The sequence below is a fragment of the Homo sapiens genome, chromosome 17, assembly GCF_000001405.40.
Source record: "Homo sapiens chromosome 17, GRCh38.p14 Primary Assembly".
NCBI classification, from domain to species: domain Eukaryota; kingdom Metazoa; phylum Chordata; class Mammalia; order Primates; family Hominidae; genus Homo; species Homo sapiens.
Genome location: NC_000017.11, coordinates 47,421,476 through 47,442,002, shown reverse-complemented (window position 1 = coordinate 47,442,002; position 20,527 = coordinate 47,421,476). Strand labels below are relative to the sequence as shown.

The 20,527-nt window shown below is 36.6% G+C and overlaps 1 protein-coding gene and 1 pseudogene across 4 annotated transcripts in view, besides 1 other annotated feature; both read right to left on the bottom strand.

Annotated features, from left to right (window-relative positions):
* Positions 1–690: 690 nt before the first annotated feature.
* The window catches only part of EFCAB13 (EF-hand calcium binding domain 13), a 117,358-nt gene continuing 97,521 nt past the window's right edge, over positions 691–20,527 (bottom strand). For 3 of the 4 annotated variants that reach the window (NM_001426587.1, NM_001426586.1, NM_001195192.2), the window contains one exon: positions 11,293–12,185. In NM_001426587.1, the coding sequence (NP_001413516.1) occupies positions 12,037–12,185 (149 nt within the window). In that variant the 3' untranslated portion in view covers positions 11,293–12,036. Of the gene's footprint in view, positions 1,573–11,292; positions 12,186–20,527 lie in introns of those variants that run through there. The other variant, NM_152347.5, reaches the window with a different exon arrangement.
* On the bottom strand, positions 15,311–18,554 carry NFE2L3P2 (nuclear factor, erythroid 2 like 3 pseudogene 2; annotated as a pseudogene).
* Positions 18,437–18,506: a silencer, noted in NCBI's record as "silent region_8626". NCBI's record gives its function as "represses an Ori minimal core promoter by ATAC-STARR-seq in GM12878 lymphoblastoid cells {active_cell/tissue: GM12878}" and the evidence as "EXISTENCE:reporter gene assay evidence [ECO:0000049][PMID:35858748]".

Below are 20,527 nucleotides of genomic sequence, written 5' to 3'. Positions count from 1 at the left end.
AAAAGAAGAAGCTACATTAACTCCCTCACAATTTGCCCATAAGGAAATTCCCCGCTTCAAATTGTCTTTCCCCTGCCCTTCTGGCCAATGTACATCTTACATGTATTGATTGATATTTCATGTCTCCCTAAAATGTATAAAACCAAGCTGTGCCCCAACCACCTTAGGCACATGTGTCAGGACCTCCTAAGTCTGTGTCATGGGCACACCCTTAACCTTGGCAAAAATAAGCTTTCTAAATTAATTGAATCCTGTTTCTGATATTTGGGGTTCACAATGGGTTGCTACTTACACTGATTTGATTATTATACAATGTATAAATGAAAGTACAATTATGTATCAATTTAAACATTTTTTAAAACACTTCTAATGTGTAGATTAACTTCTTCATTTATATTTAAATATGAATCTTCAGCAAAATAGCAAAAGTAACCATCTTGATTTAATGTCCTAGTATTTTCTTCCAAAAAATGAATTGTATAACCTTAGGTGAGGACAATAAAATCAGTTAAACTGTAAGTTTAGAACAGATCTGAGGGATAATTTTGCACAGCAGCTTTACTAATGGTACATTGTTGATTCAACAAAATGTTGGTTACACATACACACACACACACACACACACACACACACACACACACACACACAACTTAGTGGGAAACAAACAGCCAAAGGGATCAGTACCTCAACTTTGGGGGTCCTCAAATAAAGCTTTATTTGGAATTTGTAATACTGCAACCAGAACCAATCAGAATCCATTTTTTCTAGGGAGGGTTGGTAGTATAAATGAGAGTATAAACAAAGTAAATTCAAGGTATATGCATGCAATGACTGCCAAACTCAAACCACTTCATATTTAATCATTTACATGATATTCCACAAAAGGCAAAACTAGAGGGACAAAGAATGAATCAGTAGTTGCCAGGGGCTCAGGGTAGAGGAAGAAATGGATTACCAAAAGGGCATAAGAGACTTCTGGGGGATAATATAGTCTATATGTTGTGTATAGTAAGGGTTACATTACATTATTTTTAAGAATCCAAAGAACTGTATACCTAAAAAGAGTGAATTTTGCCATATGTACATTATACCTCAAAAAGCATGAATGTTTAAAAAGTGTGATCAAGAGAGTCGCTGAAGATACATGAGAACATAACAGATAGTGATAAAAATTCTACTGGATTTGTCAAAAGTTTTAAAAATTATTTTCTAATAATTTCAGAAGTCAAATATGCATACTGAATAATATATAATCTAGTAATTTTCTAGCACTATCAAGTAAGACTACCTAAAATTTTGAGTTTGGGTTAAGCTTAGCAATATTTGCCTTAGAATTCAAACAGAAGTTATGTAAACTAATCTTGTGTTGTTTTATATTCATATTGTATTGCTTCTTACTTACCTGTGCTTTAACTATCGAATCCTGTATTGTTTTTAACATGTAAACCACTGCTTGCCTTTCTAGATCTGGGCAATAAGTACATATTAAATAAAACTTACCTGCAGCTTTAGGAATTGTCAATATATCGGATAATTTAGTCATAAATTCTTGAATGCTAACCTTGCCACTTTCTGTAAGGCAAAGCATAATTTACTTAAAAGAAAGAATTATTGTTTCAGAATTAAATAATATAGCTGAAGCTAATAGTCAAATTATAACAGAAGTTAAAAGCTTGAGAGTAAGGCTGGGCTATTTCTTCTCCCTTACCTCTTGCATGCATATGATTATCAATTTCTGCTCATTTTATTTCCAAATACTTCTTGAATTTACTACTGCATTAACTAATACCTTTATTATTACAATGGCATCTTTAAAAACCTATGCCACCAGTCTCATCTTCTATTTATTTTCCACAGTATGTCAAGGGATGTATTCCTCTTTAAAAAAATTGATTATTCCCATGCATAAAACCCTTCAGTAGCTCCTAATTGCCTACAAAACTACAGAATAAATATAATACTGAGGAGGTGAGGGAGGGAAATTATAGACCAATATTACTCATACATGTGTTAAAGTATAAGTAAAATACTACTTATAGGATTCGGCAGTACAACAATGAAAAAAAAATTCAAGATACTTTCAGAACATACATTCTCATTGAGAGTGATACTGCTCTCAAGGGGTAAAACTGGTTCTTAGGAGAAAAAAAAAATCTCAGATATTACAATAGTTTCTGGCCATAGTACTTAAACAGATATATGGTATATCTGTGGTATTAAATTTTCATGGGGGTGGGGGATAATTAGGAACTAAAATGTCTATAAAGGCTTCTTAGGGGAGCAAGAGAAAAAAAGGTTAGAAACACTGCTTTAGTATGACAGTAGACACATAAATTTAATCTCTCCACGTGGTCTCCAAAAATCCATACAAATTAACAAGTAAGGCAAGTAAAATAACCTATAGTCCATGCCTACAGTGTAACTAAGAGGCAGAATATTAAACATTTGTATTTGCATATAAGTCAGGAAATAAAAATTTAGGACCAGCGCAGTCAGCTTCAGAGCCTACACCAAAGAGGAAACTCAGGCCAGACATGGTGGCTCATGCCTGTAATCTCAGCACTTTGGGAGGCTGAGATGGGCAGATCACTTAAGGTCAGGAGTTCCAAACCAGCCAGGCCAACATGGTGAAACCCCGTCTCTACTGAAAATACAAAAATTAGCCAGGGGTGGTGGCAGGAGCCTGTAATCCCAGCTACTCGGGAGGCTGAGGCAGAAGAATCGCTTGCACCTTCAAGGCGGAGGTTGCAGTGAGCCGAGAATGTGCCACTGCACTCCAGCCTGAGCGACAGAGCAAGAATCTGTCTAAAAAAAAAAAAAAAAAAAAAAAACAAAACAAAGAGGAAACTCAGGTGGCAATTTCATAGAAGAAAGAATAAGGAAATATCTTTATAATACAGAACATGGATAATATCAATGAGAGTTTACCCATAAGAAGAGAGTCCCCTTGCTGTGTAGGGAAATACTAAGAACAAGTCAGAGAGCTGATGGATGAAAGCCTTAACCTCTGGGGAGATAAAAGAAAGAAGCTTGGAAATACAGGAGGCCAAAGATAGCAGTCTTGAGATGGTATATGAGGGAAGCAGAAATTAATATTAGAACCTGGGTACAGGACAGATTCTGAAAGTGAATAGTATTACATAAAGCTTGGTAGGAAAATCGCACTAGTTCACCAGTAATGGATCCAAACCAAGAAGAAATCCCTGATTTACCTGAAAAAGAGTTCACGAAGTTAGTTATTAAGCTAATCAGGGAGGGACCAGAGAAAGACAAAGCCCAATGCAAGGAAATCCAAAATATGATACAAGAAGTGAAGGGGGAAATAGTCAAGGGAATAAAGAAAAAACCATCAAAAATTCAGGAAATTTTGGACACGCTTTTAGAAATGCAAAATGCTCCGGAAAGTCTCAGTAATAGAGCTGAACAAGTAGAAGAAGGAAATTCAGAGCTCGAAGATAAGTTCTTCTAATTAACTCAATCCAACAAAGACAAAAAAAAAAAAAAGAATAAGACTATATGAAGAAAGCCTCCAAGAAGTCTGTGATTATGTTAAACAACCAAATCTAAGAATAGTTGGTGTACCTGAGGAAGAAGAGAATTCTAAAAGCCTGGAAAACATATTTGGGGGAATAATCGAGGAAAACTTCCCTGGCCTTGATATCCAAGATGCTAGAGACCTAGATATCCAAAAACAAGAAGCACAAAGAACACCTGGGAAATTCATAGCAAAACAATCTTCGCCTAGGCACATTGTCATCAGGTTATCCAAAGTTAAGACGAAGGAAAGACTCGTAAGAGCTGTGAGACAGAAGCACCAGGTAACCTGTAAACGAAAACCTATCTGATTAACAGCAGATTTCTCAGTAGAAACCCTACAAGGTAGAAGGGATTAGGGCCCTATCTTCAGCCTCTTCAAACAAAACAATTATCAGCCAAGAATTTTATATCCAGTGAAACTAAGCATCATATATGAAGGAAAGATACAGTCTTATTCAGACAAATGAATGCTAAGAGAATTCATCATTACCAAACCACCACTACAAAAACTGCTAAAAGGAGCTCTAAATCTTGAAACAAATCCTGGAAACACATCAAAACAGAACATTTTTAAGCACAAATTACACAGGACCTATAAAACAAAAATACAAGTTAAAAAGCAAAAACAAAAAACAAAAAACCAAAGTACTCAGACAACAAAGAATATGATGAATGTAACCATACCTCACATTTCAATACTAACACTGAATGTCAAAGGCCTAAATGCTCCACTTAAAAGATACAGAACTGCAGAATGGGTAAGAACTCACCAACCAATCATCTGCTGCCTTCAGAAGACTCACCTAGCACATAAGGACTCAAATAAACTTAAAGTAAAGGGGTGGAAAAAGGCATTTCATGCAAATGGACACCAAAAGTGAGCAGGGGTAGCTATCCTTACATCAGACAAGCAAACTTTAAAGCAACAGCAGTTAAAAGAGACAAAGAAGGACATTATACAATGCTAAAGGCCTTATCCAACAGGAAAATATCACAATTCTAAACATATATGTGCCTAACACTGGAGCTCCCAAATTTACAAAACAATTACTAATAGACCTAAGAAATGAGGTGGAGAGCAACACAATAATAGTGGGGGACTTCAATACTCCACTGACAGCACTAGACAGTTCATCAAGATAGAAAGTCAACAAAGAAACAATGGACTTAAACTATACCTTGGAACAAATGGACTTAACAGATGTATGCAGAACATTTCATCCAATAACTGCAGAAGACACATTCTATTCACAGCTCATGGAATTTTCTCCAAGATAGACCATATGATAGGCCATAAAGCGAGCCTCAATAAATTTAAGAAAATTGAAATTATATCAAGCACTCTCTCTGGCCACAATGGAATAAAACTGGAAATCAACTCCAAAAGGGACCTTCAAAACCATGCAAATACAAGAAAATTTGAATAACCTGCTCCTGAATGAGCATTGGGTCAAAAATGAAATCAAGATGGAAATTTTAAAATTCTTTGAACTGAATGACCATAATGACACAACCTATCAAAACCTCTGGGATACAGCAAAGGCAGTGCTAAGAGGAAAGTTCATAGCCTACATCAAAAAGACTGAAAGAGCACAAACTGACACTCTAAGGTCACACCTCAAGGAACTAGAGAAGCAAGAACAAACCAAACCCAAACCCAGCAGAAGAAAGGAAATAACAAAGATCAGACCAGAACTAAATGAAATTGAAAAAAAAAAATACAAAAGATAAATGAAACAAAAAGCTGGTTCTTTAAAAAGATAAATAAAATTGATAGACCACTGGTGAGATTAACCAAGAAAAGAAGAGAGAAAATCCAAATAACCCCACTAAGAAACAAAACAGGAGATATTACAACTGACATCACTGAAATACAAAAGATCATTCAGGGCTACTATGAACACCCTTGCGCACATAAATCAGAAAACCTAGAAGACATGGATACATTCCTGGAAAAATACAACTCTCCTAGCTTAAATCAGGAGGAATTAGGTATCCTGAACAGACCAATAACAAGCAGCAAGATTGAAATGGTAATTAAAAATTACCAACAAAAAAAGTCCAGGACCAGATGATTCACAGCAGAATTCTACTAGACATTCAAAGAAGAATTGGTACCAACCCTTTTGACGCTATTCCACAAGACAGAGAAAGAAGGAACCCTCCCTAATTCATTCTATGAAGCCAGCATCACTCTAATACCAAAACCAAGAAAGGACATAACCAAAAAAGAAAACTACGGACTGATATCCTTGATCAATGTAGATGCTAAAATCCCTAACAAAATACTAGCTAACCGAATCCAACGACATATCAAAAAGATAATCCACCATGATCAAGTGGGTTTCGTACCAGGGATGCAGGGATAGTTTAACATATGCAAGTCAATAAATGTGATACACCACATAAACAGATTAAAAGCAAAAATAACATGACCATGCAGAAAAAGCATTTGACAAATCCAGCATCTCTTTATGATTAAAACCCTCAGCAAAATAGGCATACAAGGGACATACCTTAATGTAATAAAAGCCATCTATGACAAACCCACAGCCGACATAATACTGAATGGCAAAAAGCTGAAAGCATTCCCTCTGAGAACTGGAACAAGACAAGGATGCCCACTCTCACCACTCCTCTTCAACATAGTACTGGAAGTCCTAGCCAGAGTAATATGGCAAGAGAAAGAAAGGCATCGAAACTGGTAAAGAGGAAGTCAAACGGTCACTATTTGCAGATGATGATTGTTTACCTCAAAAACCCTAAGGACTCCTCCTGAAGGTTCCTAGAACTGATAAAAGAATCAGCAAAGCTTCCAGATACAAGATTACTGTACACAAATCAGTAGTTCTTCTATACACCAACAGTGACCAAGTGGAGAACCAAATCAAGAACTCAACCCCTTTTACAATAGCTGCAAAAAAAACAAAAACAAAAACAAAAAAATCTTAGGAATATACTGAACCAAGGAGTCAAAAGACCTACTTGTAGTTTTTTAAGGAATCTCCATGTTGTTTTCCATAGTGGTTTTATTAGTTTACACTCCCACCAGTAGCGTAAAAGTGTTCCCTTTTCACCACATCCATGCCGACATCAATTTAATTATGGCCATTCTTGTAGGAGTAAGGTGGTATCTCACTGTGGTTTTAATTTGCATTTCCCTGACAAATAGTGATGTTGTGCATTTTTTTCATATGTTTGTTGGCCATTTGTATATCTTCTTTTGAGAACTGTCTATTCATATCCTTTGCCCACTTTTTGATGGTTTTGTTTTTTTCTTGCTGACTTGTTTGAGTTCTTTGTAGATTCTTGATATTAGCCCTTTGTCAGATGTAGAGTTTGTGAATATTTTCTCTCATTCTGTGGGTTGTCTGTTTGCTGATTATTTCTTTTGCTTTGCAGAAACTTTTTAGTTTAATTAAGTCCCATCTATTTATTTTTGTTTTGGTTGCATTTGCTTTTGGGTTCTTGGTCATGAACTCTTTGCCTAAGCCAATGTCTAGAAGAGTTTTTCTAATGTTATATTCTATAATTTTTATGGTTTCAAATCTTTGATTTAAGTCTTTGATCCATCTTGAGTTGATTTTGTATAAGGTGAGTGATGAGGATACAGTTTCGTGTTTCTACATGTGATTTGCCAATTATCCCCACACCATTTGTTGAATAGGATGTCCTTTCTCTACTTCATGCTTTTGTTTGTTTTGTCGAAGATCAGTTGGCTGTATTTGGCTTTAATTCTGGGTTCTCTATTCTGTCCCATTGGTCTACATGCCTATTTTTATAACAGTACCATGCTGTTTTGATAACTACTGCCTTGCAGTATAGTTTGAAGACAGGTAATGTGATGCTCCAGATTTGTTCTTTTTGCTTAGTCTTGCTTTGGCTATGCAGGCTCTTTTTTAGTTCCATATGAATTTTAGGACTTTTTTTAGTTCTGTGAAGAATGATCATGGTACTTTGATGGGAATTGCAGTGAATCTGTAGATTGCTTTTGGCAGTACGGTAATTTTCACAGCATTGATTCCACACATCCATGACCATTTGTTTGTGTCACTGATACTCTCTTTCAGCAGTGTTTTGTAGTTTTCCTTGTGGAGATCTTTCACCTCCTTGGTTCAGTATATTCCTAAGTATTTATTTATTTTTTTTTTGTAGCTGTTGTGAAGGGGATTGAGTTCTTGATTCGATTCTCAGCTTGGTCATTGTTGGTGTATAGCAGTGCTACTAATTTGTGTACACTGATTTTGTATCCTGAAACTCTACTGAATTCATTTATCAGATCTAGGATCTTTTTGGATGAATCTTGAGGGTTTTCTGGGTATATGATCATATCATCGATGAAAAGTGACAGTTTGCCTTTCTCTTTACTGATTTGGATACCCTTTATTTTTTTCTCTTGTCTGATTGCTCTGGATCACAACAGACAGCAACTTTTAAACTGTGGTATTTGACAAAGTTTTGACATTTGTAAACACAAATAAACAATAATCACAATAAAATAATGAACATACTTATCACACCAAAAGGATTTTATATCATTTTGTCATATTTGTTTTGCTATTGTCTAAGAAATTGAGTAATTTTTAAAGTAAAAAATCCAAGAGAAAAGGAAATATGGAACAGGTGGCTGAAATAGAAAGTACTAGTAAAATGGTAGATTTAAAGCCAAATACTTTAGTAATCTCATAAGTGTAAGTTAACCACATGGTTTAATTAAAAGACATATTACTAATTAATTAATGGGAGTGAAGGAATAAATCGTCCCTGCCGAAGAATTTCAAATAATTTTAAAATGTAGAAGGAATGAGGGAAGTAGAAAATCAACATTAGAACAACACAGTAATAATTGCTACAGGCTAGCAATTCATCTGCCAATGAATGCTAAAATTAGTGGGAGAAACTTAGAGGAGAAACAGAATACTTGCACAGTCTCAAAGTATCTCCTCCAAAATATTTATTAATTACTGTGGTTATTTTAACACACGTCCCCAAATTCTTTGATACTCCTCCCTCTAGAAGAATAGCTTAATTTTCTTCTTGAGCATGGGGCTAAACTTTATGACTTGCATCTAACAAAAACTTTGAAAGAAGGAAAAACAGTAACTTTACGACGAAAAAATATGGCAGACACCACTTCAAGTGATCAAGGTTAATATCATCAGTAACAAATCATGTTAATATAATGCATTATATGTTGCAATAAAAAGGGCACTTTACCTTCGGGGTATTCATCCCAAAAGCGCATAACCCCAGGCTAATCATGAGATAAACCCAAACTAAGGGTTTATACAAAATACCTGACCAATACTCTTCCAAAGTGTCATGCTCACTAAATAGAAGGAAAGACTGAGAAACTGTCATACACTAGAGAAGGCTAATAAGACATGACAGCTAAATGCATCATGGTATCCCAGACTAGATCTGGGACATTAAAGAACATTAGTGAAAACAAGTGAAATCCAAATATATTCTGTAGTTTAATGAATGGTACTGTCCCAATATTAATATCTTTGTTTTAATAAATGTTACATGGCTATGTATGATGCTAACATTAGGGGAAGCTGGGTAGGGTACACAGGAACTCTGTACTATCTTTAAAACTCTTCTGTAAATGTAAACACTTCAAATAAAACATTTTTTAAGACACTAACAGGCTGGCAAAGCCATGTACTATTCATGAGATACATCTAAAATATAAGGATACAGGAAGAATGAAAGTAAAATGACAAAAAAGATATGTTATCCCTAAAAAAAAGATAGCCAATGTTGCTATACTAATATCAAGGTAGATGTTAAGAAAAAAGCATTATTAAAAACAAATATGAATACTTTATAATGAAATGTTCTATTAATTTGGATGATTTATCTGTTTTTTTGAGACAGGGTCTCACTTTGTCACCCAGGCTGGAATGAAGTGGTACGAATACAGCTCACTGCAGCCTCAACCTCCTGGGCTCAAGCAATTCTTGCCTCAACCCCCCAAGTAGTTGAGACTACAGGCTCACGCTATCACACCGAGCTAATTTATTTATTTATTTATTTATTTATTTATTTATTTATTTATTTTTGAGATGGATTCTTGCTCAGTCGCCCACGCTGGAGTGCAGTGGTGCAATCTCACCTCATTGCAAGCTCCACCTCCCGGGTTCACACCATTCTCCTGCCTAAGCCTCCCAAGTAGCTGGGACTACAGGCGCCCGCCACCACGCCTGGCTAATTTTTTGTATTTTTAGTAGGGACGGGGTTTCACTGTGTTAGCCAGGATGGTCTTGATCTGACCTCGTGATCCACCTGCCTCGGCCTCCCAAAGTGCTGGGATTACAGGCATGAGCCACCGCACCTGGCCCACACTGAGCTAATTTTTGTAGTTTTTGTAGAGACACGGTTTCACCATCTTGCCCAGGCTAGTCTCGAACTCTTGAGCTCAAGTGATCCGCCTGCCTCAGCCTTCCAAAGTGCTGGGATTACAGGCATGAAACACAATGCCCAGCCTTAATTCTAAGTCAGCATGTTAACAACATGGGCTAAAACTATAGACAGCAAACACTGACAGAATTAAAAGGAGAAGTAGACAAATACATAATCATGGTATAAAATTGTAGAAGATTTTAGAACAACTGTTTCAGTAACTATTGAACAAAGAAATAAAACATCAGTAAGAATATAAAAAAATTTGAATTTGACAATAAATCTGATCTAATATATAGAACACTCTCACCCAACCCAACTGCAGACTATATATTCTTCTCAATCACATAAAATATTTACTAAAATTATCATAGTCAATAAATCAAGCCTCAACAAACTTCAAAAGACTAAAATCAGAGTATGTTCACTGACCACCACAATGCAATTAAACTAGAAATTAATAATGTAATGACTATAAAACCTCAAATTTTTGGAAATTAAGAAACATACCTCTAAAACCATGAGTTGAAGAAAAAATGACAACAGAAATCAGAAAAATTTTGACCTGAACAATAATTAAAATACTATATATCAAAACTTGTAGGATGTAGTTAAATGAGTACTTTGAGGAAAATTTGCTGTGAGGTATGTATTACAAACAAAAAAAAAATCCTTAAAATTATTGAGCTAAATATTCATCACTAGAAATTGGGATATATTCACCCTAGGGAAGCTGACTGAAAAAAGGAAAAAAAAGAGTTAAAAAAAAACAAAGAAAAAATAGATGTTAGGATATAGGCGGAAGGAGATTAAAAAAAGGGGTTGGTTAATGGGTACAAAATACAGTTAGAAGGAATAAGATCTGGTGTTCAGTAGCACAATACAGTGACTATAGTTAATAATTTATTTTATATTTCAAAATAACAAAGAGTGAAATTGGAATGTTTCTAACACAAAGAACTGATAATGCTTGAGGTAACAGATAACCCAACTATCCTGATTTGATCATTATATATTGAATACTTGTATCAAAATATCACACATACCCCATAAATGTGTATAACAATTATTTATCCATAAAAATTAAAAATAAAAGAATTGTAATAAGTCAGCATATAGTAATCACTTATCAGCCTTTTGGCTAAGATCAAGTATAGACATTATAGTAAAGATAAAAGCAAAAATAATAAAGAGGAAATAAATTTTTAAAAGGGTCAATCAAGATAAAGGTTGAATTTTTTAAAAGATTAATAAAATTGAAAACTGTGGAGTTCAATCGAGAGTAAAAAAAAGAAGCTACAATCCACTAATTTTGAGAATTAAAATGAGGATAGCATTACAGCTATGTCAGATGTCAAAAAGAGAACAACTTTATTCAATACATTTGAAAAGGCAGATCTAATGAACGAATTCCTCTAAAAACATAGCTTGCCAAAACTAACAAGAAAATAGAATACCTTGTTAATCCTATTCATTTAAAGACATTAAATAAATAATCCAAAGCCTTTCACAAAAAAACTCTTGGCCCACATGGCTTCACCTATGAATTCTACTCAACATTCAAGGAAGAAAAAAGTCTCTTTTAAAAAACAAAACAAAAAAATACTCCCCAACTCATTTTAAGAACCCATCATGGATAATATTCAGCTATACCTGTCATTAAAATAGTAAAATTATTTTTTATATTTATAAATATCTGCTGCCCTGAGCCACCACTATGTGCAACACCCCCTGGTATCCCTGGATATCATCATAATTTACCTTCCAAAAACCAAAAGGGCCTCCAGGACCCTGTTTTACTCTATGGATGGCATTCTGATTGACCACTGTGCATGTCAGTCAGTTCACAAAATAATCTCACCTCCTAGGTACTGTCAGTGGACTCACACAGGGATAAGATGAGCTCTGACTTCCCCATTTGTTTGGCCCCATGAAGCTCAGGGTTGGCACACCTGTAGGGGCAGTACCAGTGTCCAGCAGTCATCCCACCTCAGCTTCCACAGGATACCCTCCATCCCTGCATGTCCTACCCATAGACCTTCCACCCCTGTGGTAGAGGATGGTCCTTATAAGATAGACGCATTGAAACTACTAACCATGTTCAGGTACATGTCTTAACATTACAGTAAGTATAGCATTAGCTGTATGAAGGTCCTTGTCCATCAATAATGTCTTGAGGTCAGAGACATCAACTAGATCATTCTGGAGAATTTGGGTAGTAGCTAAGAGTATCTGTGTAGCTGCAAAAGGAGAGCAAAAGCAAATGTTTCAACAGCAGAAATAGAGCATATGTTATTAGTTATCACTTAATAGCCTCAGGTTGCATAAAATATGAAGATCTGATTCTAGAATTGTACATGGAACTATTTGTATAGTTTTAAAAACCAGAGTGTATTACAATAGCTAACAGTCACAGGGCACTTGCTAAGTGCTAGACACTGTTTTAAGCAATTTCACTTTACCAGATTACAAATGTCTTTATAATAATCCCAAGATAGGCATTTTCATCCCTGTTTTTCAGATGAAAACACTGAGGTTAGCAAGATTAAGTGATTTACTAAATAATACATTGGCAGTAAGTGGCAGGGATGGGATTTAAGTAACAGACCCTATAGTTCCAAAGCCCATCCTCTTAACCACTGTGCCTTTCAAGTAGAAACATATAGGTAGTCAACCTTTATCCCTTGAGCCACATATTACTTCACATGTGGCCCTGAAATCATTGTGAAGCATTACTAATAAGCTTTAAATCAAAATTGTCTTTCATTATTTAACTTAAAGTTATGTTACCTTAAAATGATTAAACTGATGAATAACCTATAAGCATAATTGTTTTCTAAGAAATTCACTGGATATTAATATTGTGAAAAATAATTACTTCAGCCCTTTGTTGACATGAGTAGCTTCTTCTTCCAGTTCTTAGTCAAACTGGTCCCAGTTGAGAATATTGTATAAATAAAATAATTTATAGGTGAAATAGAAGGTATAGCTTGCTGGATGTAAGAGGACAAACCACGCTCCAATGTGATCCAACAATAATACTATCTTCCATTTATAAGGCAACTACCTTATACCTACATATTTTGTTTCTAAACAAAATTTTTTTATCTGAAATATCTGAATGTAAATAGCCAACAAAATGTCCCCTCACCATTAACTATATTATTGTGTTTTTTCTCCAATGAGAACATTCTCTTACATAATAACAATACAATCATAAAAATTCAGAAATTATTACATTGATATAATGTAAAAATGTCATCTAATTCTCAAACCCATTCACATTCTGCTATTTGTCCTGGTAATACCATTTTTAGCAAAATGATACATATTTTGTGAATGCTATAAAGAAGGCACCAAGATTAACTTTTTAATAAATGAATATTCAATTGAAATAACATCATTTATTTAAAAGGCCATCCTTTCCTTGCTCCATTGCAGTGGTACCTTTGTTGTAAAGGCGATGGGCATATTATGTGTAGATCTCTTTCTGGACTCTGTATTCTACTCTATTGGTTTTTGTGTCAATACCACACTGTCTTAATTACAGTAACTTTGTTATGATAACATGATAAGCACTATGTTAGAGACTTACCATTTAATACCTGGCCAAATAATCAAAGACAATAAAGGTAAAATATGGATATTGGGAAGCATTCAAAGACTCAAAAATTATATCTCCCATGCTGTTTTACTTTGGAACCTAATGCAAAATGTGCTTCAGTAAAATAAAGAGTAAATCATGACAGGGATTCAGTAAACATGTGAGCCATAGAACACTACTAAAGAGAAATCCTGGGATGACAGCTGTTTAGCGGGTGTAGGGGAGAAACAATCCAAATCAGAACATCTAAAGTACATAAAACTGTGTTTGAGTGTTTTGAAAATGTTAATATTCAAACATTTTTTATTATGATTTCAAAAATCATAGTCAATGTTTGACTAACATTTCAAACATGACTGTGTCAGAAATGTTTAAAGTCCAAGAAGTGAAATTACCTATGCAACATCATACAACCGGTCAGTAGGAAAAAAAAAATTCAGGTACCTAAAATATGACTACAATGTTGTTTTTCATATACACACACCACCAATTTGCAACCCTTTTTTAAAGCTTTTAAACATTTTTTTTATTTCTAAACAAACTCAAACTCTCAGAAAAGTTGCAAGTACCGTACAAAAATTTTTTGTCTGAAACATGGGAAAAAGTAATAGGTCTATAGGAAAACATATGTTTTTTAAAAAGATAATTGTTAACTCCAGAAGAAAGGGGAAGGGAGAGATTGCACATGCAAAGAGGCATGGAGGTAATGGGATGACTACTGACTCATCAATGAGCTAATTTGGATAGTCATAATACTACTAATTAAACACTGACTACTGATTTAACCAAAACCTGTGATATAATTACATTTTCACACACTTGAGTCTATAACTTTGTAATCTACCTAATACAGAGGCATGGTCTCAATTCTTACAACTTCTATAGAAGCATTATTAGCCTTATATCCTTTGGAGCATTAAGGTTCTCTTCTTTAAAAAAAGGAATTAACGCTATGAAGATTGGATCCTAAAGAAGCTAGCACACAAAATGGACCCAACTATGCCATTTGAATGAAAAGGATTCCAATGCCTGGATATAAAAGCAAAATGTGTTTCAAATTCCACTGATATTCTAAAGAAGAAAAGGATAATAAGAAAACTTAAATTATTTTTCCAGTATCACCCAGACAGTAATTACTATGGTAACCTATGCCATATAACAAAGTTATTTGCCAATTGTCTTCTAATTCTGAACCTACTCAATTTTTCAAAATGTAATATATAGGAGGCATAAAATTCAATTTACAGCACTGTATTTTGGAAAAGGCAGTCTATCAATTTAATAAAAACGTGATGTATTTACATTTTGCATCTCTTGACTTTGTAACTTTTTAATCAGTAGCTACTACAGGGAAATGCTCTCACTTAATTCTTACAACTATCATATGATATAGGCATTACTATCCTTATTTTGAGGAAAAGAAAACTGAGAATAAGAGAATCTATCTAATTTTCCAGGGCCAGTAATTTCTATAGTAATCCACATTATATAATAAGGTTATTTATCCATTAAATTCTTATGATAGTAAACTATACAACTTTTTAAAATGTGAAATATTTAAGGCAAAAAATTCAATTTACATCACTGAACTTAGAGACTTTTGAGACCAAACCACTCATGTGGAAAACGAATCTAAAATCCAAAGAAGTGAAATTACCTAACAAAATCCAGGTACCTAAAATTTAACTACAATGTTATTTTCCATATATGCATCGCCAATTGGCAACCCTTTTAAAAAAATTCTTTAACTTTTTTCTTTTTTTCTGTATAAAAGGGAAGTTTATTTTTAATACAAATACAAAATTTATTTCCATAGAAAGCAAAATTTATAAGTTAAATATAAAGATTAAAATAGTATTTGAAAAGCTCACTATAGTGCTAACAAACTAAATGAAAATAAGGCTATTTTGCATTTAAAACTGAAATACCTCTTAAAACAATTTGATCCCCAGTGTTTGCTCTTTTTGAAGTAACCGACTTACTCTTAAAAAGGATGGCTGCCAAGATGGAAAGTCTTATTGGGTTTTCATGTTAACCTATTCTTTGGACATAACTATGAATTTTGTATACAATGCATTTCATGAAAAGTTATGGCTCCCCCAGATTTCCCACAAGTGTGATCTTGAAGTCCTAAACATTTGTCCATGTAAGCTTCAAAACAGAGCCTTAACTGAGTTATTCAAGTAGCAGTACTTAAAGATATAATTTTTGAAGCAGTTTCAATGGTTTGTGATCCAAATAATCAGTTTCTGAACATTACTACTTCACGTAATAGAGTCCATCTTCAGTTTCTTCTCACTTTCTCTTTCCCTTTTGGGTTTCCTTTTTCTGGCCTGAGGCTACCAGTTCTTTGGGTACTATCAAGATACTTCCATCATGGGTACACTGAAGAGCATAGTGGTTTGGATTGACTGGCCTACCTTGGTCATCTCTTAATCTACTAAAAATATCATGATAAAGGTCATGCAGTTTGTTTCATTATGTTAATAGCTTTGATACATTGTGCTCGCTCTCTCTTAAGAGTTTCCTTCTTTGCTTGCAAGTTACATACATCATCTTCTAGATTCAAAATTATGTCCAATTTGCGTTTACGATAGTTCTGCGCAGCAACTTTATTTTTCCCTCTTCGTCTGATATCACGGATAAGTGAGACTTGTAGGTCTGTCAGATAGTACCTACTTAACATGCTATTGAATCAACAGGCATGCCGACAATTTCATCTACAGAAAAAAGGGATATGCAAAGCTTTAGCACGCCGTTCATCACGTTCAAGTTTCTATCTGTGTCTTCAAGGTACCTACTCCTTATCTTCTGTGACTTCCCAGGCCACGAAAAAGGTTCAGAAGTAGATTCTGGTGCACTTGGCTGCAAGTGGTAAGTGTGGTTATGAAATATGTGTTGAAATGTAAGATCCCCATGGAAACCAGAATCACTTTGATCCAAGTGACAAAGCTTACTGGGTTCTGGGTAGTAGCTGCCTACAGCACCTTCTAAGTCATGATGGGAACTAGATTCATGGTCAGTACAATAACCTATAGCACCTTCATCACACACAGAGTGAGAGGAATTAGACTTGATGACAGAGGTACTATTGTGACTTGAATCTAAAGACAGGTCAGAATCAGAATCTGATTCATCAAAAAGCTGAGAAACATCGATTGGATCAAAGTCGTCTTCTGTGGCCAATGACATTATCTCATCAAATATATTTACATCAAGGTCATACAGTAGGTCTTGGCTTGTTAGATTCCTCATAAGATTGTCAACCGGAGGGCCGGGCGCGGTGGCTCACGCCTGTAATCCCAGCACTTTGGGAGGCCGAGGCGGGCGGATCACGAGGTCAGGAGATCGAGACCATCCTGGCTAACACGGTGAAACCCCGTCTCTACTAAAAATACAAAAAATTAGCCGGGCGTGGTAGCGGGCGCCTGTAGTCCCAGCTACTCGGGAGGCTGAGGCAGGAGAATGGCGTGAACCCGGGAGGCGGAGCTTGCAGTGAGCCGAGATCGCGCCACTGCACTCCAGCCTGGGCGACAGAGCGAGACTCCGTCTCAAAAAAAAAAAAAAAAAAAAAAAAAAGATTGTCAACCGGAGAAAGAAATCCTGTCAAATTAGTTCCAGGAAGGGTTTGCTCAGGATTGGTGGTATGAGAATTTAACTTTAGAAACGGTTCTTGTGACTGTGAAGTCCTTGCTATTGGATCTCTTCTAAATGTACTGTTGGCACAAAGCAAGATGGCCTCATGAAGATTCACATCATGACTTATAGCCTGGCTGAAGTTTACGTGATAATGTGCTGAAGAATTCATGCCATCACTGATACTGCCTGGAAGAGGAATATCTCCCAATGAGAAGCCCTCCGTGAATTTTCAGGCTGTGATGAAAGCAACTGGAATAAGTCTTCCAGAGAGAAATAAGTATCTGTCCCATTCAGATGTCTCTCATTTCTAGATTCAGTGGTCTTTTCTGCCTCCCAATCAGGTTCCTCTGCTATTTTGTTTTCATCATCATTATTCTGCTGAAGTGAGTTCTCCTTCTGGGCTGACACCCTTTCTTCATTTTCCTCACGCTGGGAACTATGATCCACAGCTTCGTGCTTTTCTCTTAGTACCTCGTTCTCCCCGCTCGCACATCCGCCAGCGTCCGGCACCTGAGCCGTCGGTTCCGCGGGTGCCTTCTCCTCTTCCCCGGCGTCCAAGGGGCCACTCCGAGCCGCTCGGGAGTCCCCGCAGCCCCCCTGCACAGCCTGGCTGCCGCCGTCCACGCTGGCGCCGGCTCCTCCGGTGGACTAGGCGGCGGCGGCGCCGAGCAGCCCGTGGGCCTCGTCCGCTCTCCTGGCAGCCACGCTGTGCACCAGCCACGCATCCACCGGGGTGAGAGGGATGAAGGGGACCCCGAGCGCGCACCTCCCGGAGCAGCGGGCCCTCGGGCGGCGCGGCAGAGTCCAGCTCCCGGCCCTTGGGGTGCAACTGGCCCGCGCGCCCCCTCCCTCCCGAGGCCGAGAAGGGGCTGAGCGCGTAGACGGAGCTGGCCGGGCCGCCCAGGAACAGCAGCTCGTCCCGGAGCAGGGTGGGCGGCGGCAGTAGCAGGTAAAGGTCTAGGTCTACACGGAGCCCAGCAAAGCTCAGCAGGAGGGTAAGGTGCAGGAGGGTGAGGTGCAGGAGGCCGCCGCTGGCCGACCACCACCGCTTCAGGTGCTGCACCGCCGCCGTGCGCCCGGGAACGCCCCTGCCGGCGCCCGCGGGTCCCGGCGCCCCAACCGCCGGGGTGACACGTCGTGCGGACCCCGCGCGCCGCCCGCACCTACCTGGAACCCAGAGAAGCGAAACAATGGACCGGGGCGCGCGGCGGCCGTCGCGGGTTCCCAGGACCGGGCACAAAGGCGTTCCCTCGGCAGCCGGCACCGTGCCTGGCACGGCCGGGGATCGGGAGAAGCGAAGGAGGAGCCACCTGCGCGCCGAGCCCGTTCGCCCGGCCGCCCGCAGCCAGGCGCGGTGGCCAACTCCGCCCCGGGCCGCGGGCGCAGCCGACGGGAACACGCCCCCTCAACTTTTTTATTTTTAAACAATCTCAAACCCTCAGAAAAATTGCAAGTACAGTACAAAATTTTTTTATCTGAAATATCTTAATGTAAATAGCCAACAAAATGCCCCTTCACCATTAACTATATTATTGTGTATTTTCTCCAATGAGAACATTCTCTTACATAACAATACAATCATAAAAATTAGGAAATTATTACATTGATACAATGTAATAATGTCATCTAATTCTCAAACCCATTCACATTCTGCTATTTGTCCTGGTAATATCATTTTTAGCAAAATGATACATATTTTGTGAATGCTATAAAGAAGGCACCAAGATTAACTTTTTAATAAATGAATATTCAGTTGAAATAACATCATTTATTTAAAAGGCCATCCTTTCCGTGCTCCATTGCAGTGGTACCTTTGTTGCAACTTTATAACTTTGTTATAAATCTTGATGTAAAGTAACGTGAGTTTTACAACTTTGTCTTCTTCAACTTTGCCCTGGCTATTTTGGCCCTTTGCATTTATTCTCATATTTAAAATCAGATTGTCAGTTTCTATAAAATTATGCTAGACTTTTGATTGGGATTGCATTGAATATATAGCTCAAATTGGTGAGAACTGAAAGCATATTGAAACTACAAAACATAATATATCTCTCCATTTATTTAGGTTTTTCTTTAAATTTTGTCAAAATTGTTTTGTAGTTTTCTGTTTAAAAATTATAAACTTGTTTCACTAGTTACTCCTAAATGTTTACTTTTTTGTATCATTGCAAATCATATCTTTATTTTCATTTTATAATTGTTTGTGGCAAAATACAGAAATACAATTTTTGAACATAGAATTATATTAAATTGATCATGTGTCAAGCAGCTCTGATAAATTTGCTCATTAACTGAAATAAAATAATATAATAACCAGTGTATAGATTCATATTTTTTCTACCTATTAATTATATTGGCAATGAGTAATGGAAATTCTATTTCTTCCCTTTTAATCCTTATCTTTCTTATTCTGTTTTGCCTGTGATACTGGCTAGGACTTCCAGTACACGGTTGAACAGAAGTGATGATAGTAGACATTCTTGTCTCATTCCTAATCTCTGTGAGCAAGAATTTAAAATTTTCCTTCAAACATGATTGTTGTAGGTTTCTGTAAGTACCCCTTAACATGAAAAGGTGTTGAATTTGATCAAATATGTTTTCTACATCTATTAAGATGATTTTTCTTCCTCCTTTATTTTGTAATATGAAGAATTATTTTTATTTTTGTTAATTAATACCAATATTGCACTCCTAAAAAGAATTCAACTTGTGATATATCTTTCCTTTTTATATATCACTAGATTTCATTTGATCCTATTTTATTAAAGCTTTCCCCATTTGTGGTCATGATGGGGACTGAATTATAATTTGGTGCCCATGTAAGGTTTTTATATGAAGATTACATAGGCCTCATAAAATGAGGTTGGAAATGTTCTTCCTGCTTCTAAACTCTGAAAGAGTTTATGTAAGAGTGATACTATATCCTTCTTAAATTTTAAAATAACTTACCAATGAAGCCGTCTGAACCTGGAGTTACTCTTCAGATTTTCTAATTATTCTTCAGCTACTTTGGTAAGTTGAGTTTTTCAAGGAATTTATTCTTTTCATTAAAATTTTCAAATGCATTGGTATAAAAGTATAAGATCCTCTTAGTATCTTTTTTATGTCTGTGTATGCTGTAGTGATGTCCCTTTTTTCATTCCTGATATTGGTAACATTTCTTTTTTTTTTTTCTTTCTTTCTTTTTTTTATTGCTCATTCTTGGGTGTTTCTCGCAGAGGGGGATTTGGCACGGTCATAGGACAATAGTGGAGGGAAGGTCAGCAGATAAACAAGTGAACAAAGGTCTCTGGTTTTCCTAGGCAGAGGACACTGCGGCCTTCCGCAGTGTTTGTGTCC